We start from the raw sequence: 22155 nt of genomic DNA, 5'->3' as shown, positions 1-22155 counted from the left end.
GATTACAGGTGTGAGCCACTGCACCCGGCCCACTCATTTGTTTTATGAGATAAACATATGTCTTACCTTTCTAAATGTATAGATGATTCAGTGGGGCACACCTGCTTGTTCTGTTGTACCTTCTATCCTCCCAGAGTATCCCAATTCTAATCTGTCTACTTCATCTCCAGTTGAATTACCCTAAATAGTGTTTTATCATATCACTCCCTTTTAAAAAAACTGCAGTAACTCCCAAATGTCTTTAGGACAATCTTCAAAATCTTTAACATCACATAAGATTCTTGAAAATTTGGCCTCAAACTATCATCCCTGTAACCTTATTTCTTTTTACCCCAACTCAACAATACTGACAACAATAGTCTCACTAAAAGCAGTTCCCTAGAACCAACTGGTAATGATTGTTTGGGCTACGTTTCATGAGGATAAGAATAATTCTTCTCTGGCCACCACAACTGCTCAAGTGGAGTCACCTAGTGTCTCTAAATCCACCATTATAACACAGTTGGCAAGCTCAATTTAAGAAGACAACTGCTTGCTGGTTCAAGGTTTTGTTAGCTCAGCAGGAAGGGATGTCATTAATGAATTCCAGCAAACCCGGAGGCTTGATGTTGTCGCTTTTGTTCTTTCTGTGTTCCTGCAGTTGAGTTGCAGTGATCTGGTGAAGGAATAGTTAGGCCAGAGTGGTTGTTACCGCAATAGAGAACCATCGTTGAAGACTTTTTAGTTTGCTGCTACCCAAATAACATACTTTAGTCACCTGTAAAATGAAAGGGTTGAACAAGGCCATCTCCAAGGCCCTTTTCTGTTCTAAAATGCTATGATTCTATAATCAATAGCCTGACTTTTTTAAATGTGAGAAAGCCTCAAGAAACCCTTAAAATAAGCTTCTAGCTTGTTCATGCACACACGATTTATTTATTCAGAATTATATTATGTAATAATAGTAGTTATACATGACCTTAAAAACAGATTCATTCCTGAAATTTATTTTATTTCGTTTGCCCTTTGAATATTTTTTATGTTCTATTTTAAAGTTTGTGAAGATATTTCCAATATAGCATACCACATTAGTCTCAACATCCATGTATATTATTTAGAAAAAAATAGTTTTTAATTTATCCCAGGAATGATGTTTCTATATAAAAATACTAGATTTTAAGCGGGTAATTTCCTTGGACAAAAAGTATTGATCTCTACTATAAAATACATTTTGAAAACTAATAATTGAAGTATTTGTAAGTAGTTAAATGCTTTCATTCTTTAATGAAAATTACTATTCAGTGTTCATTTTATTTGTAATAAAAGATCAGCTGAATTTCTTAATGCAAAATGAGCTTGTCCCAGTGCTTTTTATTCTCACTTGAAACTCACCCAGCTCCTTATATCTAATTGGAAATCTCACCAATTTCAGAGAAAATTAATAATAATTCAGATGAACCATATTGGTTTCTAAATGGAAATGGAAGTATATGGTTTAGATTCACATATCTCCTCTATGATATCTGACATTAATGTACTCCCTTCATTTCTTTCTTCCTTCATCCAGCCCTCATTGTCTTCTCTCTTTAGCTCTCTTTTCTTCTCCTTCCTTTCACAGATATTTACTAAATAAATATAAAGCTCATGTACCTGTGACCCTTATAGTTCTATCCCAGAATGGCATCATCAAAGGCACACAGTCCAAGAACAAACAGGAGTTCAAAAATAAAGCAAGTCCTTTACTTGTGTTGTCCGAACACCAAGAAGAAAGCACACAGTTCACATCAACACTTCTTAAAATCCCTTTCTATGCTGTCCCATCCACTGTCCTCACACATCCCCGGTAGTCCCTCACTTCTTCTATACAAGCCCCCAGAAAACTCTTCACCCAAACGTAGCCTTCTTGTTTTTCTCTTACACTCTTTTTGCTCTTGATTCTTAGCATAAAAATCCAAAAGAATCAAGACAGGGGAAAGGTTGGGAACTCATATATTAGTAATTTTTGTTCAATTCAAAGCATTTTTGTTCAACATGCTTTGGAAGTTATATGGAGAAGCATAGACCCTACCTTCAAAAGCCTATAATCAAATGGGGGATATTCAGCATTTGTTGGGCACTTATAACAAGTCAAGCATTGTGCCAAGCACCATGGATATAAAAATTAATAAGCAAGAATGTCTGCCCTAGAGAAGCTGACAGCCCAATGCTGAGTGGCCACATGGAGAGATAAGTAAAATGCAATGTGATAAATGTTAAAATAAACTTTACACAGAAATTGCTATAAAAACTTGACAGATCTTCCTTAAAAATGACTCACCAATACTCACAGTTAATGATATTAGCTTTATCCTTGTTACAGGAACTCCACTCTTGAATTGAAAACAATCGGTCATGGTTTCGTCATTCTCCCTGCCCTCTGCCTAACCAGTCCCCAGAATTTTGTGGCTTCATTCCTATTTCTAATAATATCTTCCCAATATATGATACGGTGGGGTGGGGATGGTGGGAGACAGGGAAAAAAAAAAAACCCTGGCTGTTATTTCCCAGAGGAAAGAAAATTAGAAATTCTAACAACCATGATAGCATTGTTTGAACTACATGGTTTCAGCCTTATGAACTGTGAAACATATGGTCTGTTTTGTGTTGTATCCCATAGCAGTATGATAGTCACAAAAATTTCACATAGATTAAAAAACAGAAGTCAGCCAGGTGTGGTGGTTCACACCTGTAATCCCACCACTCGAGCACTTCGGGAGGCCAAGGCAGAAGAATCACTTGAGGCCAGGAGTTTGAAGCCAGACTGGTCAACAGAGCAAGACCCTGTCTCTACAAAGGAAAACTTTTACAATTAGCCGGGTGTGGTGGTGTGTGCCTGTAATCCCACCTACTGGGGAGGCTGAGGCAAGAGGATCACTTGAGCCCAGGATTTTAAGGTTGCAGCAAGCCATGATCATACCACTGCATTTCAGCATGGACAACAGGTCAAGACCCTGTCTCAAAAAAAACAAAAACAAAACAAAAAACAAGACAAAAAACCTACCTATGTCCAAGTAATCCTGTCCTTCCTAATATTTTTACTCGTTTTTCCAGTGCTCTTATATCTGACTCTTGTAATTTCTTCCTAGATGGGCTCTGCTCCAGTGTCTCTCAATTCTAATCTATTTACTTTGCCTCCAGATTATCCTAAATAGTGCTTCATCATGTTACTCTCTTTAAAAACTGCAGTAACTTCCAAATATCTATGAACTTCACATTCTTAGCTTTACATAAAGATTCTTGAAAATTTAGTTCCAAACTATCATCCCTGCAACCTTATTTATTTTTCCCTCTAATTCAATCACATACTCCAGTCAACTCAAATGCTCAGCCTCTCCAAGAAATGCCTACTGATTTGTCTGCCTAGCAATGCATTTCCTGAGAACTGCTCCTTCTCCCTTTCAATAACAACGTTTCAGTTGTTTTTTCCTTCAAGGTAACTGTGATTGCCATTGATTGCCATTGGCGATTGATCCAGGGGTGACACCTGACCCAAGCTCGTCAAATGACGCCTTCCCCTGAGGAATTTAGAATGGGGACTGATCAAGTCCAGGCTCAGTCTGGCTGTCATTTTCTGCCACATAGACCAGAAGTAAGAAAAAGTTGATCTGCAGTAAGAAATAAAGTAAACATTTAAAGAAGAGCAAAGACAAGAGTTAGAAAGGAAGGACTGCAGTCTCAGTCCATTCTGTTCATCCAACCCCACTGCAACCTACTCTTGGGACCCCAAGAATCACTGCTGCAGTCATAATAATAAATGCTCACGTTTGCTTAAATGAGTTATGTTGTTTGCACCCCAAAAGAATTGTAATTAATCTAATCATATTTTTATTTTTGACAGTTCACTTTGTCCACAATATGGAAGGAGGATGAGCTGCTAAGGGAAGAGAATAGAGGCAATGAGACCAGTCAAAGGACCACTGGAAGGATCCAGGAATGAAAATTCATCTTGATTGGATGTGGGAGGTAAGTTAGGGTGGCAAGGACTAAGGATGACCTGAAGCCTAGATGACTGGATAGAGTGGGAAGGAGAATACTGAAGACTTTAGGGGATGATGTTGAGCTCAGCAATGCATGAGATAAGTTATGTGGAAGTACCTAGCACAATTCCTAGGCCACAGCAGGTGCGCTATAGATGTCAGTGTCCAAGGGCTCCCCCATCCCTGTGTTTCATCTCCCCTGTTAGGTTGTCAGCAATTATAGGGCAGGGATCACATACTGCACTTCTCAATTGTCCTCACAGTGACTACTCAGGTCCTGGTACACTGTAGACACTCAGTAGATATTTGTTGATTTCCTTTTATGTTATACAAGACAAATTTTGTTTTGATTGCTTATAATAATATGTCTTTTCAAAAGAACAATCAGAATAGTACGGTACAGACATGCTTTTTTAGACAAAGAATTGAAAGAATGCTTTCCTCACCATAATCATGTTTGATTTCAGAATGGTCTTGAAAAAATCTGAATTCTAATAGAGGATCATTTTCTTTTTGATGGGAAAGAAATAAGTAAAATCTATACTACCAAAATAAAAAGCTTTTCATGTTTAAATATGTATAAATCTGAATGTGTTCAGCAAAATATCAATGCACAAAATACTCAAAAATAAATCTGAAAGCTAATACAGATCCTGACTCCTAATATAAACACAAACTAATCAAAGCCAAGAATTTAGATTCAGAAACAGCTCCTGCTGTTGAATCTCAATATGTATCTCAGATAATACTACAAAGTTTTTGGAAATTAATTTCTTCTTAATTCTTTATACAAAAGATTATTTTCATTGTCCGTATATATTTCTCTACATATATTATCTCTATATATAATATATAATTCCATATAATATGTAATATTAAGTAATATAATTATTATAATATATATAATATAGTATATGTATATTAGAAATACAGAGTGCAAATGTGGCAAGCATATTTAGATTAAATATTTAAAAATTCATCTTAAATAATTCCACTGCTAAGGAGATATAAAATCAATCCAAGAAAATCATGGCTAAGCAGGTTTTATTAACCTTAATTGAGAAGGCAAGAAAATGAGCCTTGATCCTTGTATTGTTGCTGTATATGTCCAAAATATCTGTGTAGACTCGTGGGCATTGATGGAAGAGGACATAGCCTGAGAAGAAACCCTCGAATGTAGGAAATGCAGGCCACCTCCATATAAAATGTGACCTAAGAGGCAGTGAAATGTCCACCAACTGTGATGCCCAAAATTCCACCAGTGGGGGCATTCTTTAGAGTTAAGGAGGGTATTTCTAGAAACGTCTGTTAAAATGCAGACATTCACCAAAAGTGATTAAGCGTGGACCTCCTGATGCCTATAAACACATTGCCATGATTGGTATATTCAATAGCTCCCTGTCACCTAACACAGGACCATGATTTGGACCTTTGGCGTCATAGCCCTCTCGACCTCATTTCTTGCCATTCTGCCCTTCGCAGCAGATGATCCTCTCCACTTCCATGGCTAGTGTTCATATTTCGGATTAAATTAACTCTGTCAGAAAAGCCTTCTCTCACCACTTTAACCAAAGTACAGTCCTACTCTACTAGGGCTTCCTTCAGAGCAGCGACAACAATCTATTATTCTTTTATGTTGTCACTTATTTGTTTATTGTCTGTCTTCCTCAGTAGAATGTCAGTCTTTTGAGAGCAAGGACCTTGAGTGTATTATTATCCATTATAATCCTAGCTCCTAGAGCCAAACACATAGTAAAGGATTCAAAAATATTTGCTGGCCAGGTTCGGTGGCTTATGCCTGTAATCCCTGCACTTTGGGAGGCTGAGGCAGGCGGATCACCTGAGGTCAGAAGTTCAAGACCAGCCTGGTTAAAACGGTGAAACCCCGTCTCTACTAAAAATACAAAAATTAACCAGGTGTGGTGGAGGGCGCCTGTAATCCCGGTTACTCAGGAGGCTGAGGCAGGAGAATCGCTTGAACCCAGGAGATGAAGGTTGCATGCAGTGAGCCAAGATCTCACCATTGCACTCCAGCCTGGGCAACAAGAGTGAAACTCCATCTCAAAAAAATATATGCTTTTTTTTCTCAAAAAAAAAATACATATATATTTGCTAGTGGGTGGATGAATGGAAAAGTGATATAATATTTCTGGAAGTTGGTTTGGCTATTGAATCAAAAGACCTTAAAATATTCACACAGAGTGGTCAAATAATTCTAGGAATTTATCTTAAAGAAATCATTTAGGCACAGAATTTTTATCACAGACATGTTTTATAAAAGGAAAAACTGGAAATGATCTAAATATCCATAAATAAGAAACGCATTACATAAATGACATTTTAAAAGAATGCTTACATAATGATAAAAAGCTCATGATACATGTTAAATACAAAAAGTAGGATAAAAGATTTTATACAGTATGATCCCAATTTTGCAAAAAGGAAAAGAGTATATATGCATGGAAAAGAACTGTTATATGTGTCAATGTATCATTGTATTTGTGCTGAGAAAAATAAATAAAAGTGTATATACATTGGCCACCCATGTTGGCTTATGCCTGCGGGGGAACAAAAGAGTATACGTATCAATGTACTGAAATATTGGTAATGGTTATCTATAGGTGATAGATAAGTGATTTTTTATGATTGATGACATTCTGTATTTTTAAAAATTCTCTACAGTGAATAAGTATTACTTTTATAACTAGATAGAAAACTAGATAGATATTGCCAGGCATGGTGGCTTATGCCTGTAATCCCAACACTTTGGAAGGCTGAGGCAGGCAGATCATTTGAGGTCAGGAGTTTGAGACAAGGCTGGCCAACATGGTAAAACCCTATCTCTACTAAAAATACAAAAATTAGCCAGGCATGGTGGCACATGCCTGTAGACCCAGCTACTCTACTTGGGAGGCTGAGGCAGGAGAACTGCTTGAACCCAGGAGGTAGAGGTTGCAGTGAGCAGAGATTGCCCCCCTGCACTCCAGCCTGAGTGACAGAGCAAGACTCCATCTCAAAAAAAAAAAAAAAGCAACATATTTTAAAGTCTAAATAAACCCCTGTATTAGTTAATTTTCATGCTGCTGATAAAGACATACCCAAGACTGGGTAATGTATACAGGAAAAAGGGTTTATTAGACTTACGGTTCCACAAGGCTAGGGAAGCCACACAATCATGGCAGAAGACAAGGAGGAGCAAGTGACAACTTACCTGGATGGCAGCAGGCAAAGAGAGAGCTTGTGCAGGGAAACTCTGCCTTATAAAGTCATCAGATCTCATGAGACTTATTCACTATCACAAGAACAGCACGGGAAAGACCTGCCCCCATGATTCAATTACTTCCCACTGGGTCCCTCCCACATCATGTGGGAATTCAAAATGAGATTTGGGTGGGGACACAGACAAACCATATCAACCCCTATGTGTGAAAAGTACTCTGCTAATTATTGAAGGATTCAACACTTTTGAATGGATGATCAACACTTTTCTCACTCTAGTGGTTTGTAATTTATGATGTAAATAAACTTATTTCCAAGCTCAGACAAGAGCAGGAAATAGAAGCCATCAGCAAGCCAGAAGGAGAATGAACGAAGGCACAAAAGTCGTGAGATGGGGTAAGACAGGGTGGGGTACCACAAAAGAGAAGGAAAACAAGGAGGGAGATGAGAAGACTCCATAGATAAAATTCAACTGCTTCCTCCTTTCAACAGACACTGAGTACCCACTGATCCTAGTATTTTGTTACGCCATAATGTTTCAAAGATAAATAAAACATGGTTGCAGCCCGCCCTGAAATTACACTGGGATAGGCAGGTAGGAAAATCAATTATATTAGAACTCAAGTATATGATTATGCACAAGATGCTCTGAGAGTATAAACAAAGTGCACCTAGGTCATGGCGAAATGAGAATGGTCAGAAAGCACTTCCAAGAGAATATAAACTCATGCTAAGTCCCAAAAAACAAAATACAGAATTCCAGGCAGGTGAGAAAAACATAAGCAAGGTACAGAAGCATGAAATCACATGGCTATCAGGATGTTTTCAGCTGCATATAGCCCCTACTTAGGACTCCAAGTATCCATTGGAAGGTAAATGTCATTTCCTCTGGGCTCCATATAAAATGCAGTTGCCTAAATGGCAAGTTTGCAAACTACCCTGAACAAGCGTCTATTATGTAAATCCAGGTGTAATTAATATTTATCAGCAGACCAGTATGTCTCAGGCATTTTTGACCTGTTATTTTATTTATACTCTAAGAGATTTTTTTTAAAAGCCTCTTTCTCAGCAACCAGTAGCACATCAGGGTGTATAACTGCAGGTGGCAGCTGGTCTGGAGCAGCCAGACACAGAAGAAGATATGAGGGCAGAGAAAAGATAGTCATTTACTTCCATCACCTGCCCCTTTTCTGAAAAGAAAAGGGAAATCTAGCCGATTTAATATATAGGGTACATGGTATGATCAATACCTTACTTATTTTTAGGTCTCAATCTTCCCACTTTCAAAGGGCATTTAAATTCAGTTTGTTGGAATGATGTAGGCAAAGCTATGCATAATGATGACTTGGTTTCTCATCCATTTGCCTCATGCAATACCCTAGAACTACCCTTACACCAAAGCTAGAAGTAAAGAATGAAAGAATCAACAGCCACTGTCCCGCTCTCCAAAATCATAAGATCCCATGTGCACCATAACAACATATGAAATAATGGCTCTGAGCACCAAATGAATGAATATTTAGTAAATTTTAAAATATTTAATAAAATATTCATATTATTTACCAAAAGATCCTCTAGACTACTTTAGATGGGGGGAAAAAGCAATATGTCTTACTTTTAAGCCTTAGTCTAAAGCTTAAATCCTAAATAGGATTTTGAATCTCATTTTGAATAATTCAAAGTCTTTGGGAAAAATCAATAATGCCAATATACCAGTGTAATACTTAAAGAAACTTTCTCCCAAAGTAGTATATATTTCTTTCTTTCTTTCTTTCTTTCTTTCTTTCTTTCTTTCTTTCTTTCTTTTTTTTTTTTTTTTTTGATACAGAGTCTCGTTGTGTCGCCCAGGCTGGAGTGCAATGACACGATCTCAACTCACTGCAACTTCCACCTTCCCAGTTCAAGTAATTCTCCTGCCTCAGCTTCCTGAGCAGCTGGGATTACAGGCGCCCGCCACCACACCTGGCTAATTTTTGTATTTTTAGTAGAAACAGGGTTTTGCTGTGTTGGCCAGGCTGGTCTCGAACTCCTGACCTCAGGTGATCTGCCCGCTTTTGGCCTCCCAAAGTGCTTGGGATTACAGGCATGAGCCACTGCCCCCAGCCCTCACAAAGTAATATATTAAAATCAATTTAGTTAACTTCTAGAAAGGGAATCTACTATATTTTTAATCTCTCTATACTAAATATATTACATGACTCAAATACAACTACAGATTAAATTTATGTCTTACACCATTGCCACTGTTCGCACTAAATTTAGGACCTTTAGAACATTATACATACACAGACATCATAAAGAACATATATTTTCTCTCCCTTGTGCATGGCATTTCCAGTTACAGAATATTAGATTACAAGCCCAAAATTGGGATCATGTTCAAAATAAAGAGACTATTCAACTACCCAATTTGTCAGGTATAAGCATATTCTGGTTGTCAATGTTAGGAGAGGGAATTTTCAAATTTTTTAAATTAAATTAAATTAACAAACAAAAAAGTCTTCAACTTAAAATAAAGGTAAATTAAAATAACAATAAGAAACATTTTATTAGTAAAAAATGGTTATTGATGATGGGTTGTTTTAGCCTTTCAGCAGCTATGTTATGGTGTCAACACCTCACTTTCTCTTTGAGGACTTGCCTCTTCTGTATTTGAGTGATCCTGGTGGGGATGATAATCACAGTTGTTCTATTCCCCGTCCCTTCTTGGATGAACACATCCAAGAATGGGTGAAACAGGCCTGGTCAATCAGAGTCCTTCCCAAGGACTGATATGATCAAAACTGTAAAGTTCTTTCTTTCTCCTGACATTCAACCAACATGGTCAATTTCTCCAGTTGCGTGGAAGAAGTCCATTTTTTTGTAGGAGAGAAGAGATCAACACACAGAGGAAAGCAAAGGAGATATGTGAAAGGGAGAGAGAGGAAAAAGGGAAAGGGAGAAAGAGGTCAGACCTAAAAGTGTTACTGATGCTACTTCGTGAAGCCTGAATTCAACCCCTCTACCTCCCCCAGTACATGGACCAGTGAATTCCCTTTTTTCTTTAAACCAGCTTAGGTTTTTTGTTATTTGCAATCAAGAGTACCAACTCAGTGCCCCATCCCCACTAATTGTAGTGACAATATTCATTATTGTGGAGAATAACTATGCATATATGTTACTATTAGGTTTTCCTTTGATTTCATGCAGCAGAAATATGACTACAGTTGCTTAACCAAACACATATTAATTTATTCATGTAACAAGAATTCCAGAGAAAGGAGACCAGAGCTGGTGCAGATGTTCAAGAAAGTCACAAGCTCCTTCTGGCTTCCTTTTCCACCACTTTAACTTGTAGCTTTCATCCTCAAAGTTGCAAGAAGGCTGCTCTACCTGCAGTCAGAAAGAAGAGCGGAAAAGAGGAAAAAGTGTGTGCCAGCAGAGCATGTTCCTTTTATGTAATAAAACAAAAGTGTGTCTCATAGCGGAACCCTGTAACCATCATAGACCACATCTCGGTCATATGGACGTACCTAGATGCAAGGGAGTCTGAGGAAATGAGGCTTTTATAACAAGTCACATTCCCACTTAAAAAAAAAAAAGTCTTTGATTAATGAAGGTGAGAATGAATACTAGGTAGGCAAATGTATGGTCAAAGTCAATGGCCTTACAAATTGGTATAATATTTGTGAAAAACAATTTAGACTTACTATATAGACTTCATACCTGGTGATTTAATAATACCAGTTCTAGGAATTTGTTCTTAAATAATTCAAACTGTGAGAAGACTGTAATAAAGATATTTATATTGATGATCTTAAAAACAGAAAAAATCGGCTGGGCGTGGTGGCTCATGCCTGTAATCCCAGCACTTTGGGAGGCAGAGGTGGGTGTATCACCTGAGATACGGAGTTCGAGACCAGCCTGGCCAATATGGTGGAACCCCATCTCTACTGAAAATACGAAAATTAGCTGGGCGTGGTGGTGGGCGCCTGTAATCCCAGCTACTTGGGAATTGAGGCAGAAGAATCACTTGAACGTGGGAGGCAGAGGTTGCAGTGAGCCGAGTTCGCACCATTGCATTCCAGCCTGGGTGAAAAGGGTGAAACTCTGTCTCAAAAAAAAAAAAGAAAAAAAGAAAAAGAAAAAATCTGCATAATCTAAATATCCAAAAATAAGGAAATGATTATAAAAATTATATGTTTGCAGACTATGTATTGTACAGCCATTAAAAATTATAATTCTTAAGATTATGAAACAAATGGGGAAATGTTTATGATATAATGTTTGGGTTGGTTGGTTGGTTGGTTGTTGTTGTTGTTGTTTTTTGGAACAGAGTCTCGCTCTGTCACCCAGGCTGGACAGGCTGGAGTGCAGTGGCATGATCTTGGCTCACTGTGAACTCCATCTCCTGGGCTCAAGCTATCCCTTCCACCTCAGCCTCCCAAAGTGTTATGATTACAGGCATGAGCCACTGTATCTGACCTGTGATATCATGTTAAAGAAAAGAATTGACAGCATGATTTTTCATAAACTAATATTTTATATACATCAAATACCACAAAGGGAAAAGTTACTGAAAGAAAATACACTAGATGCTAACAGTGGTTGTATTAGGCTGTTGGGGTTATAATTTATTTTTCCACTTTCCTCCAAGTTACAGTTTTAATTGTTTTCTTTAATAATAAATTAATAAAGTAAACATTGATTTTAAATAAATTAGTTTTATCAGTATATATTCATTGAAGTAGTTCTGGGATTTATTCACTATAGATTTATGCTACTCTAGTATTTTTTCCATTGTTTAGCAGAGCACTGGGATTAAAATGACACCTAATAAATATTTGTTGGTAGATTATTAGATGCTTTCTTTTAAACAGTATTAAGAAACAGCAGCAATAGGATGCATGAATGGATAGATAAATGGATCGATTGGTAGATCAATAGATAGATTTATTACAGGGAATTCACCCAAGTGATTATGGAGGCTGGCAAATTTAAAATCTGCAAAGCTGATGTCTCAGTTTAAGTCCAAACAGGAGCACGTTGCTGGAGAACCAGGAAAAGCCCATGTCCTAGTTCAAAGGTCTCAAGCAGGAGAATTCTCTTTTACTTGGAGGAGGGTCCGTTTTTTTTGGTCTATTCAGGCTTTCAACTGAATAGGCCCACCCACATTATGGAAGGCAATCTGCTTTACTTAGTCTATAGATTTAAATGTCAATCTTGGGTCGGGCACCATGGCTCATGCCTGTAATCCCAGCATTTTGGGAGGCCCAGGTGGGTGGATCACTTCAGGCCAGGAATTCAAGACCAGCCTGGCCAACATGGTGAAACCTCCTCTCGACTAAAAACACAAAAATTAGCCAGGCATGGTGGTACACGCCTGTAATCCCAGCTACTTGGGAGCCTGAGGCAGGAGAATCGCTTGAACCCAGGAGGCAGAGGTTGCAGTGAGCTGAGATCACGCCGCTGCACTCCAGCCTCAGCAAAAGAGCGAGACTCTGTCTCAAAAAAAATAAAATAAATAAATAAATAAATGTTGATCTTGGGCCAGGTTCAGTGGCTCATACCTGTAATCCCAGCACTTTGGGAGGCTAAGGCGGGTGGATCACTTGAGCTCAGGAGTTTGAGACCAGCCTCGGCAACATGGCAAAAACCCGTCTCTACAAAAAATACCAAAATTAGCCAGTTGTGGTGGTGCAAGCCTGTAGTCCCAGCTACTCTGGGGGCTACGCAGAAGGATGGCTTGAACCCGGGATGTAGAGGCTGGAGTGAGCCGTGATGGCGCCTCTGCACTCCAACCTGGGCGACAGAATGGGACTCTGTCTCTAAATAAATGTGTGTGTGTATGTTAATCTTATCCAAAAACTTTCCATAGAAATAGCCCAAAAAAAATTTGACCAAATATCTGGGTACCCTGTGGCCCAGACACATAAAATTAACCATCACAAACAGTCACAGGTGAAACTAAATTTATGTCACATGTTGGATTAGATTTAAATCTTTTTAAATCACCAGGTCTTTCCTCTGTTTAATGCCGGTGTGAAGTTTATACATCTTTGCATTTTACCTCCATGCCTTTGCTCACTGTGCTCCCTGAACTTGAAATGTTTTTCCTGTAATTGCCACATTTCTATATCCTTAATATCTTTAAACCCTGCTCAAATGCAACATTCTTCACAAAACCTTCTCTGATTCCTACAGTCTTCATACCTCCTACCCCGACCTCCTATAGACACATCAAAATAGAAGTAGGCCGGGCATGGTGGCTCATGCCTGTAATCCCAGCCCCGTGTGAAGCTGAGGCAGGACGATTGCTTGAGCGCAGGAGATCAAGACTAGCCCGAGCAACACAGCAAGACCTCATCTCTACAAAAAAAAATTTTTTTAATTAGCCAAGCATTGTGGCACACACCTGTAGTCCTAGCTACTTTGAAGGCTGAGGTAAGAGGATTGCTTGAGACCAGGAGTTCCAGGTTGCAGTGCACTGTGATCACACCACTGCACTCCAGCCTGGGCGACAGAGCAAAGCCCTGTTTCTGAAAGAGAAGAGAAGAGAAGAGAAGAGAAGAGAAGAGAAGAGAAGAGAAGAGAAGAGAAGAGAAGAGAAATAATTTTTTCCTTCTTAATACATAAAGTGCCTCTTCTCTAATGGTATGTCTCACATCTACCTTGTTTTATAGGTTTTTATGAATAGATTTTTTAGTCTACAAACTTCTTCAGGAAAATATATATGTCTAATCCAGTTTTGGGTCTCCTGAGTACCTAGCATTGAGTAGACTTTAAACATTTATTTGTGGAATTAACATATTTTATACATTTTTCTCATAACTAACAGAGTCAGCAATTTCTTGAATAAAAAATAGTTCAAAAACATTTTCTAACTAAGCAACAGAGTTCAAAGTACTCACATATTGAGTAGTTTAAGATAAATACACCTTTAGCTGGTTAGAATTTTCAGTCACTTTTTAACAAATATGTTCTATATGTTTAACCGTAATTTTGTTTTTTAAGATGGTGTCTCACTATGTGCCCAGGCTGGGCTTGAACTCCCAGCCTCAAGTGATCATCCCACCTAGGCCTCCCAAAGTACTGGGATTACAGGCATGAACCACTGTACCTGGCCCATAATTTTAAGTATTAATTGTCAAGTGCACTTAAGGCAAAGCATAGGGAAATTGTTTTGATTATGTTAATATTTTTCCTTTACTGCCACTTTTCCCATCTTTGAAGTCCAAGGCATTTAATCCTTTCATCATTCATTCTAATTAGACAGGTTTATTTTTCACACTTACTCTTTGGGCAAAGGCACAAGTTGAACAAAACTAATTTAGCTGGTCAACCATAGAACACCTTGTTCCTCACCCTTTGGAGAAGTTACATCACCTTTCTGTTACATTATTTCTGAAGGACCCCATAGAATCAACAGATCTCCAACAACCAAGAATATATGCTAGCACCTTCTGTGAATCCATATTTCACTACAATTAGTACATGTCACAGCTGGCATTTAAATAATCTTTCAAATGTATCAAAAATTTCAAAGCTTTTGTTGTTTCTCCCCCTAGTGGTCAATAATAATCATTAAAATGGAAAAACTATGTAAAGGTGATATTCAATGTGGGTGAAAGGTGGGGATGAACATTCAATTAGATTGTAAATAAATATGAATGTATTCAAACCTATGTCTCATAATCTGAGAAGTGATTTATTTGGGATAGAATTTCTTTAGACACCACACACAAATACTCTCTATACTTATTCTCTGAATAATACTTATATTTTATCCTAATAATTGTTTAAATACATGCTGCATAGTTAATTTCCTGTTTAGAAAAATGTGGTTTTCATTAGTCTTATGGGATCTGGAAAAAAAGAAAAATAAATAAAATATGATTTTCATACCAAATTACCTGAGACATTTTAGTAACGTGTATCACTAAATATTTTTAATTTTTAAAAAATGTTCACCTGAGGCCAGGCACAGCGGCTCACACCTGTAATCCCAGAACTTTGAAAGGCTGAGGCGGGTGGATCACTTGAGGTCAGGAGTTCAAGACCAGCCTGGCCAACATGGTGAAAACCCATCTCTACTAAAAATGCAAAAATTAGCCGGGTGTGGTGGCGGGTACCTGTAATCCCAGCTACTTGGGAAGCTGAGGCAGGAGAATTCCTTAACCCGGGAGGTGAGGGTTGCAGTGAGCTGAGATTGTGCCACTGCACTCCAGCCTAAGCAACATAGCGAAAGTCCGTTTCAAAAAAAACTAAAACAACAACAAAAAACATTTAAGTGTGTGTTGGGCATTTTCACATATCAGAACAATCAATCTGCTACCTTTTAAAAAAGGATTGCATATTATTCCAATGTGTGCATTACTTTTTTTTTTTGAGACAGTCTTGCTTTGTCACCCACGCTAGGTTGCAGTAGCGTGGTCTGGGCTCACTGCAACCTCCACCTCTGGGGCTCAAGTGATCCCCCCACCTCAGTCTCCCAAGTAGTTTGAACCACAGATGCACGCCACCACGGCGGCTAATTTTTGCATTTTTTGTAGAGATAAGGTCTCACCATGTTGCTGAGGCATGAGAATCACTTAAATCCAGGAGTTAGAGGTTACAATGAGCCAAGATCGAGCCACTGCACTGCAGCCTAGGTGACAGAGTGAGACCCTGTCTCAAAAAAAAAAAGGAAAAAAAATATGTTTCCTTCATAGGTGTGTGTCTTTATTTTTAAAATAAAGAAAAAAAAAAGTTTCCCTAATTGGACAATGCTTCCCCCCTCCACCCTCCATTTAATTTTCATTGGCTGTTTGCTCTTATGTAATGTTCCACTTTCAATTTTTATTTTCTTGCTCATAAAATATTATGGAAAACTTGTTTAATTAGAAATAAATTTCAGGCCGGGCACAGTGGCTCACGCCTGTAATCCCAGCACTTTAGGACGCCGAAGTGGGTGGATCACCTGAGGTCAGGAGTTCGAGCCAGCCTGGCCAACATGGCGAAACCCAGTTTTAAAACCAAAAGCCCCATATTCCAGGAACCCCTCAGCCCCAGATCCAGACAAACCAGGACAGCTAGTCATTCTAACTCCTCTCCTTATGGCTACTTTTTTTTTTTTTTTTTTTTTTTTTGAGACAGAGTCTCACTCTGTTGCCCAGGCTGCAGTGCAGTAGTGTAATCTCGGCTCACTGCAGCCTCAACCTCCCACCTCAGCCTCTCAAGTATCTGGGTCTAGAGGTGTGCACCACCAAGCCCAGGTAATTTTTTTTATCTTTTGTAGAGACAGGATTTTGCCTTGTCACCCAGGCTGCCTTACAGCTACTTCTTAGCAAGGTAGCATCACCTCCTTGACCTTTGAGGCAACGTGGGGCAGGGGACTCAAGGAAAACTTCGGTCTTTTCCAGAAATAACTCAGCTCTTTCCTGACCCACCTCTGACCTAGCTGCAGCCTGCCTCCAAGTATCCCAGGGCACACAAGAACACCACTGACCATGACCCAGCACTTGGGCTACAGCACATTCTGCTTCCTGACCCTGCTTTTCTGCTCCCCATCTATCATTGACAGTCTCACTCTCACTGAGAGGGCCACCAACTCCCACACAACTCTACTCCCTGGGACTCTGCTGCTATAGAAAGACTCCTTTTTTACCACATACGTCAGAGTTTTACAGACTTCGTTTTTAGAGCAAGATCGCATTCTTTACTAAGACTTAGCATGCAGAAAAGGAAATAAAAGAGTGGTTTTATCCTCACAAACAGGGTAAGGATAACAGGCAATTTCTTTTTCTTTTTCTTTTTTTTTTTTGAACTCTTATTTTGGTGTTGAGCAAGTAGGTAGATGTATTTAAAAATCAAACTAGTTAGGAGTAATATCGATTTAAGAATATCAAGAGTAAGAACAATGAAAACATATTCTTATATGATTTGTTACCTGTTGCCATTTTATCAGTGGCTAATGTTTGACCACAGGCTCTGAAAATTTAAATTTTAAAATCATGAGAATAAAATAAATATTATAAAATTTTTTTTAATTGTAGTATTTATTTTTTAAATCAGGTTATACTTACACCTGATAAAACATTCAAGCCGGGCGAGGTGGCTCATGCCTGTAACCCAAGCAATTTGGGAGGCCAGGGTGGGCAGATCACCTTAAGTCAGGAGTTCGAGACCAGCCTGACCAACGTGGTAAAACCCCATTTCTACTAAAAATACAAAAATTAGCCGGGCGTGGTGGCAGGCGCCTGTAATCCCAGCTACTCAGGAGGCTGAGGCAGGGGAATTGCTTGAACCCAGGAGGTGGAGGTTGCAGTGAGCCAAGATCACGCCATTGTACTCCAGCCTGGGCAACAAGAGCAAAACTCTGTCTCAAAAGAAAAAAAAGAAAAAAGAAAAAAATTCAAAACGGGTAGTCTGTCTTTCCAACCTTGTACCTCAGTCATCTTGTTCCCTACCCAGTAACAGGCAATTTCTTTAGGCACATTATAATAGTCACAAGTCAAGCTGACTATGAAAAAATGTTAAATCTTCCACAACGTTAACTATAAAAGTGTTAACTTGGAACCCTAGTTTAACAAATTTTGAATTTCTAAGGATATCAAGAGCATGTTTTTGAAAAGGGCTACACGTTTTTTTTCCATGAAAAGTAAAACGTAAGGGCTAGGCGACAAGCAACTTTGTCTGTTATAGAGGCTGAGCCGTATGATCCCAGCTCTGTGTGTTGCAGAGGCTGATTTCTCCTCCAGTAAACAACCTACTCATCAACCACTCAACATCAGCAGAAATAAAACCATCATCTTCCCCCCAAAACCATTGTTTCTCTTTCTCCATTGTTCTTTAAACAAACCACACCACTAACCAGATGCAAAAACCAAAAATTTAGGAGGCATCTTTGGCTCCTCCCTCTACGTCACTGCCATATGCCATCAGTCCTCCATGGAAATGTTTCTCAAACTCTGCCTTTGCTCTTTCCTCATGGCACACACCCTGATGGGGTAGCTATCATCTCTCACAAGACTCCTATGGGTCTGCATAATTGCCCCTCTCCAATTAATTCTCTATACTACTGCCACATGTATGGTGTTATGGCTGAATTATGTTTCCATAAAATTTGTATGTTAAAGCCCAGTATCTCAGAATATGACTGTATTTAGAGACAAGGCCTTTAAAGAGGTGACTAAGTTAAAATGAGATCATGGAGGGATCTCAATCCAATCTGAGCGGTGTCCTTCTAAGAAGAAATCCTTATAAGAAGAAGAAAGAGACGTGAGGGGCTCACACACACAGAGAAAAGACCATATAAAGAGGCAGTAAGAGGGAGGCCATCTGCAAGCTAAGGAGAGAGACCTCCAAAGAAACCAAGCCTGCAACATCTTGATATTGGACTTCCAGCCTCCAGAACTGTGGGAAAATAAATTTCTGTTGTTTAAGCCAACCAGTCCATGGCATTTTGGCAGCCCTAAAAAATTAATACATATGTTGTCTTCCCCCTTCCCATCACCCTTAAAATAAAATGCAAAGGAATTAATATGACTATAAAGCTCTAGATGATTTGGTCCTATGCACATCTCTTGCCTCATTCCTTTCCCTAGCTCTCTGCCCCTAGCTGTGCTGAACTTCTCCCAGTTCTCAAACATACCTGGGGCCTTCTCACAAGGTGCTTCCTTTGCTGGAAGTACCAGTCCCCCATCTTTGTTACCCACCTAAATTCAAGTCTCAGCTCAGAGTCACTTCCTTAAGAAAATCTCCCTGACTCCCTAGTCTAGGTCAATCTCCTCTTTGTTTCTATCACTAAACACAGTTGTCATTATTTGCCTCATACCTACTGGTTTTTCTATTAATTAAGAAGCTCCACAATAGCTGAATCACTACTGCCTGGTTTATTTTTCTATTTACAATGGCAGCACAGTATTTGGCACATAGCAGGACTTCAACAGCATTCATTGGCCATAAGACTGATGCTCTCTTTCTTTCACTATCTACAGCTACTTCTGTTGAGAAATTGAGACATCAATTGGCTTAGTTGGAGAAGCTCCTGGGACAGCATCATAAGATGCCTAATATGCAGCTATCCTTCCCCGCAGACTCTATTTTCACTGGCACCTATAGCTTCCCAGGAGATGTAGTAAAAAGGAAGAATGGCTAATAGACCTCAACATTCCTCTCTTACACCCTGTCCCATATGACCAGAGGGATCATGCAAGCTGAGCTCCGGAGATAGCCTGTATCACAGACTAGCTGAGAACACTTCTGTAAAATGGTATTCAGAGAGGGACTATGAACTAGCCTAGCAAACACTACAGTATTTTGAACTGCAGCCAAGATCATCTACAAAAATAATTCTTGGAATGTTAAAGAGGATATTTTAAGGCTAGGAATGTAGTAAGAGGAACACATATTTTCAAATAGGAATCTGGAATGTTCTGCAAGTTCTGATAATCTCACTAAAGTGAGAGGTCATTAGCTGAGTTTTATTCCAAAAGGAAGGGAACAAACACCTCCAGGGTGCTAGAAATGAAAGACTTCACAGAGACAGAAGTTAACTCTCTGTTCTGAAAAACCATCTCTCAAAAGTTTTTCTTTCCTTTGGTATGGCCTAGATCTTGAAACAGGGCAGTATATCTTTTATTTCTCTAAGGAGCTGCAATATTCTATTATTTGCCATGAGAGAAAATCTTTGTGACCTACATCTTCTATCCAGGTCCCTGAGCCATCTTCTTTCTGGTGCCTACAGTGACTGAGACACAGGATTCCTGGTCCTGATGTATGAAGCAATTCCTGCAGAGGTCTTGGAGGTCTTGCTTTAAGGCAGGAGGAGACTGCCTGCATGCAAGATAATGGCTGGCTAGCAAAGATAGGTGTGAAAAGGTCAACCAGCAGGTTGACTCTATGAAATATGAATTTCAGCACCATTTCTCTTTATAGTTTTAACAATTACTAGATGCCAGTTATATTCATATGTTTTGTCTCTTTAATCCCCAGAATAACTTGCAATGGAATATTAGGCAACCATTAAAATGACAATACAGGCTGGGTGTGGTGGCTCATGCTTTTAATCCCAGCATTTCAGGAAGCTGAGGTAGGCAGATTGTTTAAGCTCAGGAGTTTGAGGCCAGACTGGGCAACATGGCGAAACCCCATCTCTATGAAAAAAATACCAAAGAATTAGCCAGGCATGGTGGCACATGCCTATGGTCCCAGCTACTCGGGAGGCTGAGGTGGGAAGTTCACTTGAGCCAGGAGGTTGAGGCTGCAGTGAACCATGATCATGCCACTGCACTACAGCCTGAGCCACAGAACAAAACCCTGTCTCAAAAAAAAAAAAAAAAAAAAGATAATACAGATGTGTGTTTGTTAACATATTAGTTTACTGATATGGAGAACATTTAAAACAATTTTTTTTTTGAGACAGGGTCTTGCCCAGGCTGGAGTGCAGTGATGCAATCATAGCGCACTGCAGCCTTGACCTACTGGGTTCAAGCAATCATCCCACTTTAGCCTCCCAAGTAGCTGGGACCACCAATGCATGCCACCATGACTGGCTAATTTTTTAAATTTTTGTAGAGATGTGTTCTCGATAAATTGCCCAGGCTGGTCTCGAACTCCTGGGCTCAACCAATCCTGCCGCCTTGGCTTCCCAAAGTGCTGGGATCACAGGCATGAGCCACTGTGCCAGGCCAGAAAACATTTAAAACATATTAAATGGAAAAGGTTACCAAACAGAATACATAGAGTCGGCCCATTTTTATAGAAATATACATACATATTTAGATTTATATACCACAGCAAAATATCTAGTGAGTCAAGCACTTTTTAAAAATCTCTTTATGATAAATAGGGAATATCTGAAACACGGAATCTAGTAGGACTGAGGCCATATCTTATAAAAATAGTAAAGCCAAGATTTAAATCCAAGTATTTCTGAAGCCAAAGCTCCAAAGCTATTTTGTACTTTGCTAGGTTACTTTCTTAGTCAATCTTGAAGCAGTGACTAGACTTCCTCAGAAGAATGCTTTATTTATAAAATAAGGAAACCCACCCCACACTCCTTAAAGGTCTCATAAAAATGAGATTCTGGTAGCCAGTAGTGAACATTTTATGCCTAAATTGGGTATGGCCATAAAGACTCCTTACCTTGGTTAAGCCACAGTCGGCCTGAGTTGCCTTAGTTTTTATGCTGTCCCTATGCCCAAATTAGGAGAAAAACATAAATGAGCCACATTTGACCGTGGCTGTCATAAAGATATCTTAGAGGATGAAATTTTTGTTAAGTATAGGAGTATTTTTAAATATTTGATCTCATTCATCTGAATAGCTCTGGACCCTTGATAATTAAATCATAATCTCAAAGACCATTGTATTATATTGTCTTAAGTTATTTCACTTACCTAGCCATAGAAATTTCTCACTTCCATCATGAAGACGGAGAAAGAAAGGGACATGCGATTCATATGACAAGGAGCTCTGCATTCCTTCTGCCAATTGTGTTTTGAAATAAGGAAAGGAAGAGATAACACTGGGATACTGCCTGAAAGACATGAATGTGAAGTGAGCCATAAAAAAGGCTGATTCTGATGTCAAAAACTTAAAGAATACTTCCTGTCCAACTGGCAAACAGTAAGAAATGCTTATTTTCAGGAAGACGGCCTACTAATTTTGTTTTTTTGTTTGTTTGCTTGTTTTGGTTTGTTTTGTTTAGAGATAGGGTCTCACTATGTTGCTCAGGCTGGTCTCAAACTCTTAGGTTCAAGCAATCCTCATGCCTCAGCCTTCCAAAGTGCTGGGATTATAAGTGTGAGCCACTGCACCTGGCCACTCGTTATTTAAGGTCAAAACAGTTTGTTAAGAAAGTTGTCATTCTAGTCATCTAGTTGTCACTAGGAGAAACCCACACTAAGCTTACAAATTATATCTTCCACTTGATTTGGCAGTGTCAAAGTAAATACCATGATTAGGAAACTCCTCTTTA

The 22155-nt window shown here is 39.0% G+C and overlaps 1 long non-coding RNA gene across 3 annotated transcripts in view; it reads right to left on the bottom strand.

The window, feature by feature from the left end:
- The window catches only part of LOC105370438 (uncharacterized), a 68133-nt gene that overhangs the window by 33010 nt on the left and 12968 nt on the right, over window positions 1-22155 (bottom strand). Inside the window, exons 2-3 of one of the 3 annotated variants that reach the window (XR_943724.3) lie at window positions 21575-21714; window positions 10421-10586 (exon numbers count right to left, since the gene is read on the bottom strand). The exons of the other annotated variants lie outside the window; for them this stretch is intronic. This is a non-coding gene — a long non-coding RNA (uncharacterized LOC105370438). Of the gene's footprint in view, window positions 1-10420; window positions 10587-21574; window positions 21715-22155 lie in introns of those variants that run through there. 3 annotated transcript variants of the gene reach the window in all.

Source organism: Homo sapiens, chromosome 14, assembly GCF_000001405.40.
Source record: "Homo sapiens chromosome 14, GRCh38.p14 Primary Assembly".
NCBI classification, from domain to species: domain Eukaryota; kingdom Metazoa; phylum Chordata; class Mammalia; order Primates; family Hominidae; genus Homo; species Homo sapiens.
Note: the sequence above shows the minus strand (reverse complement) of the source record. Positions and strands in the feature narration are given on the sequence as shown.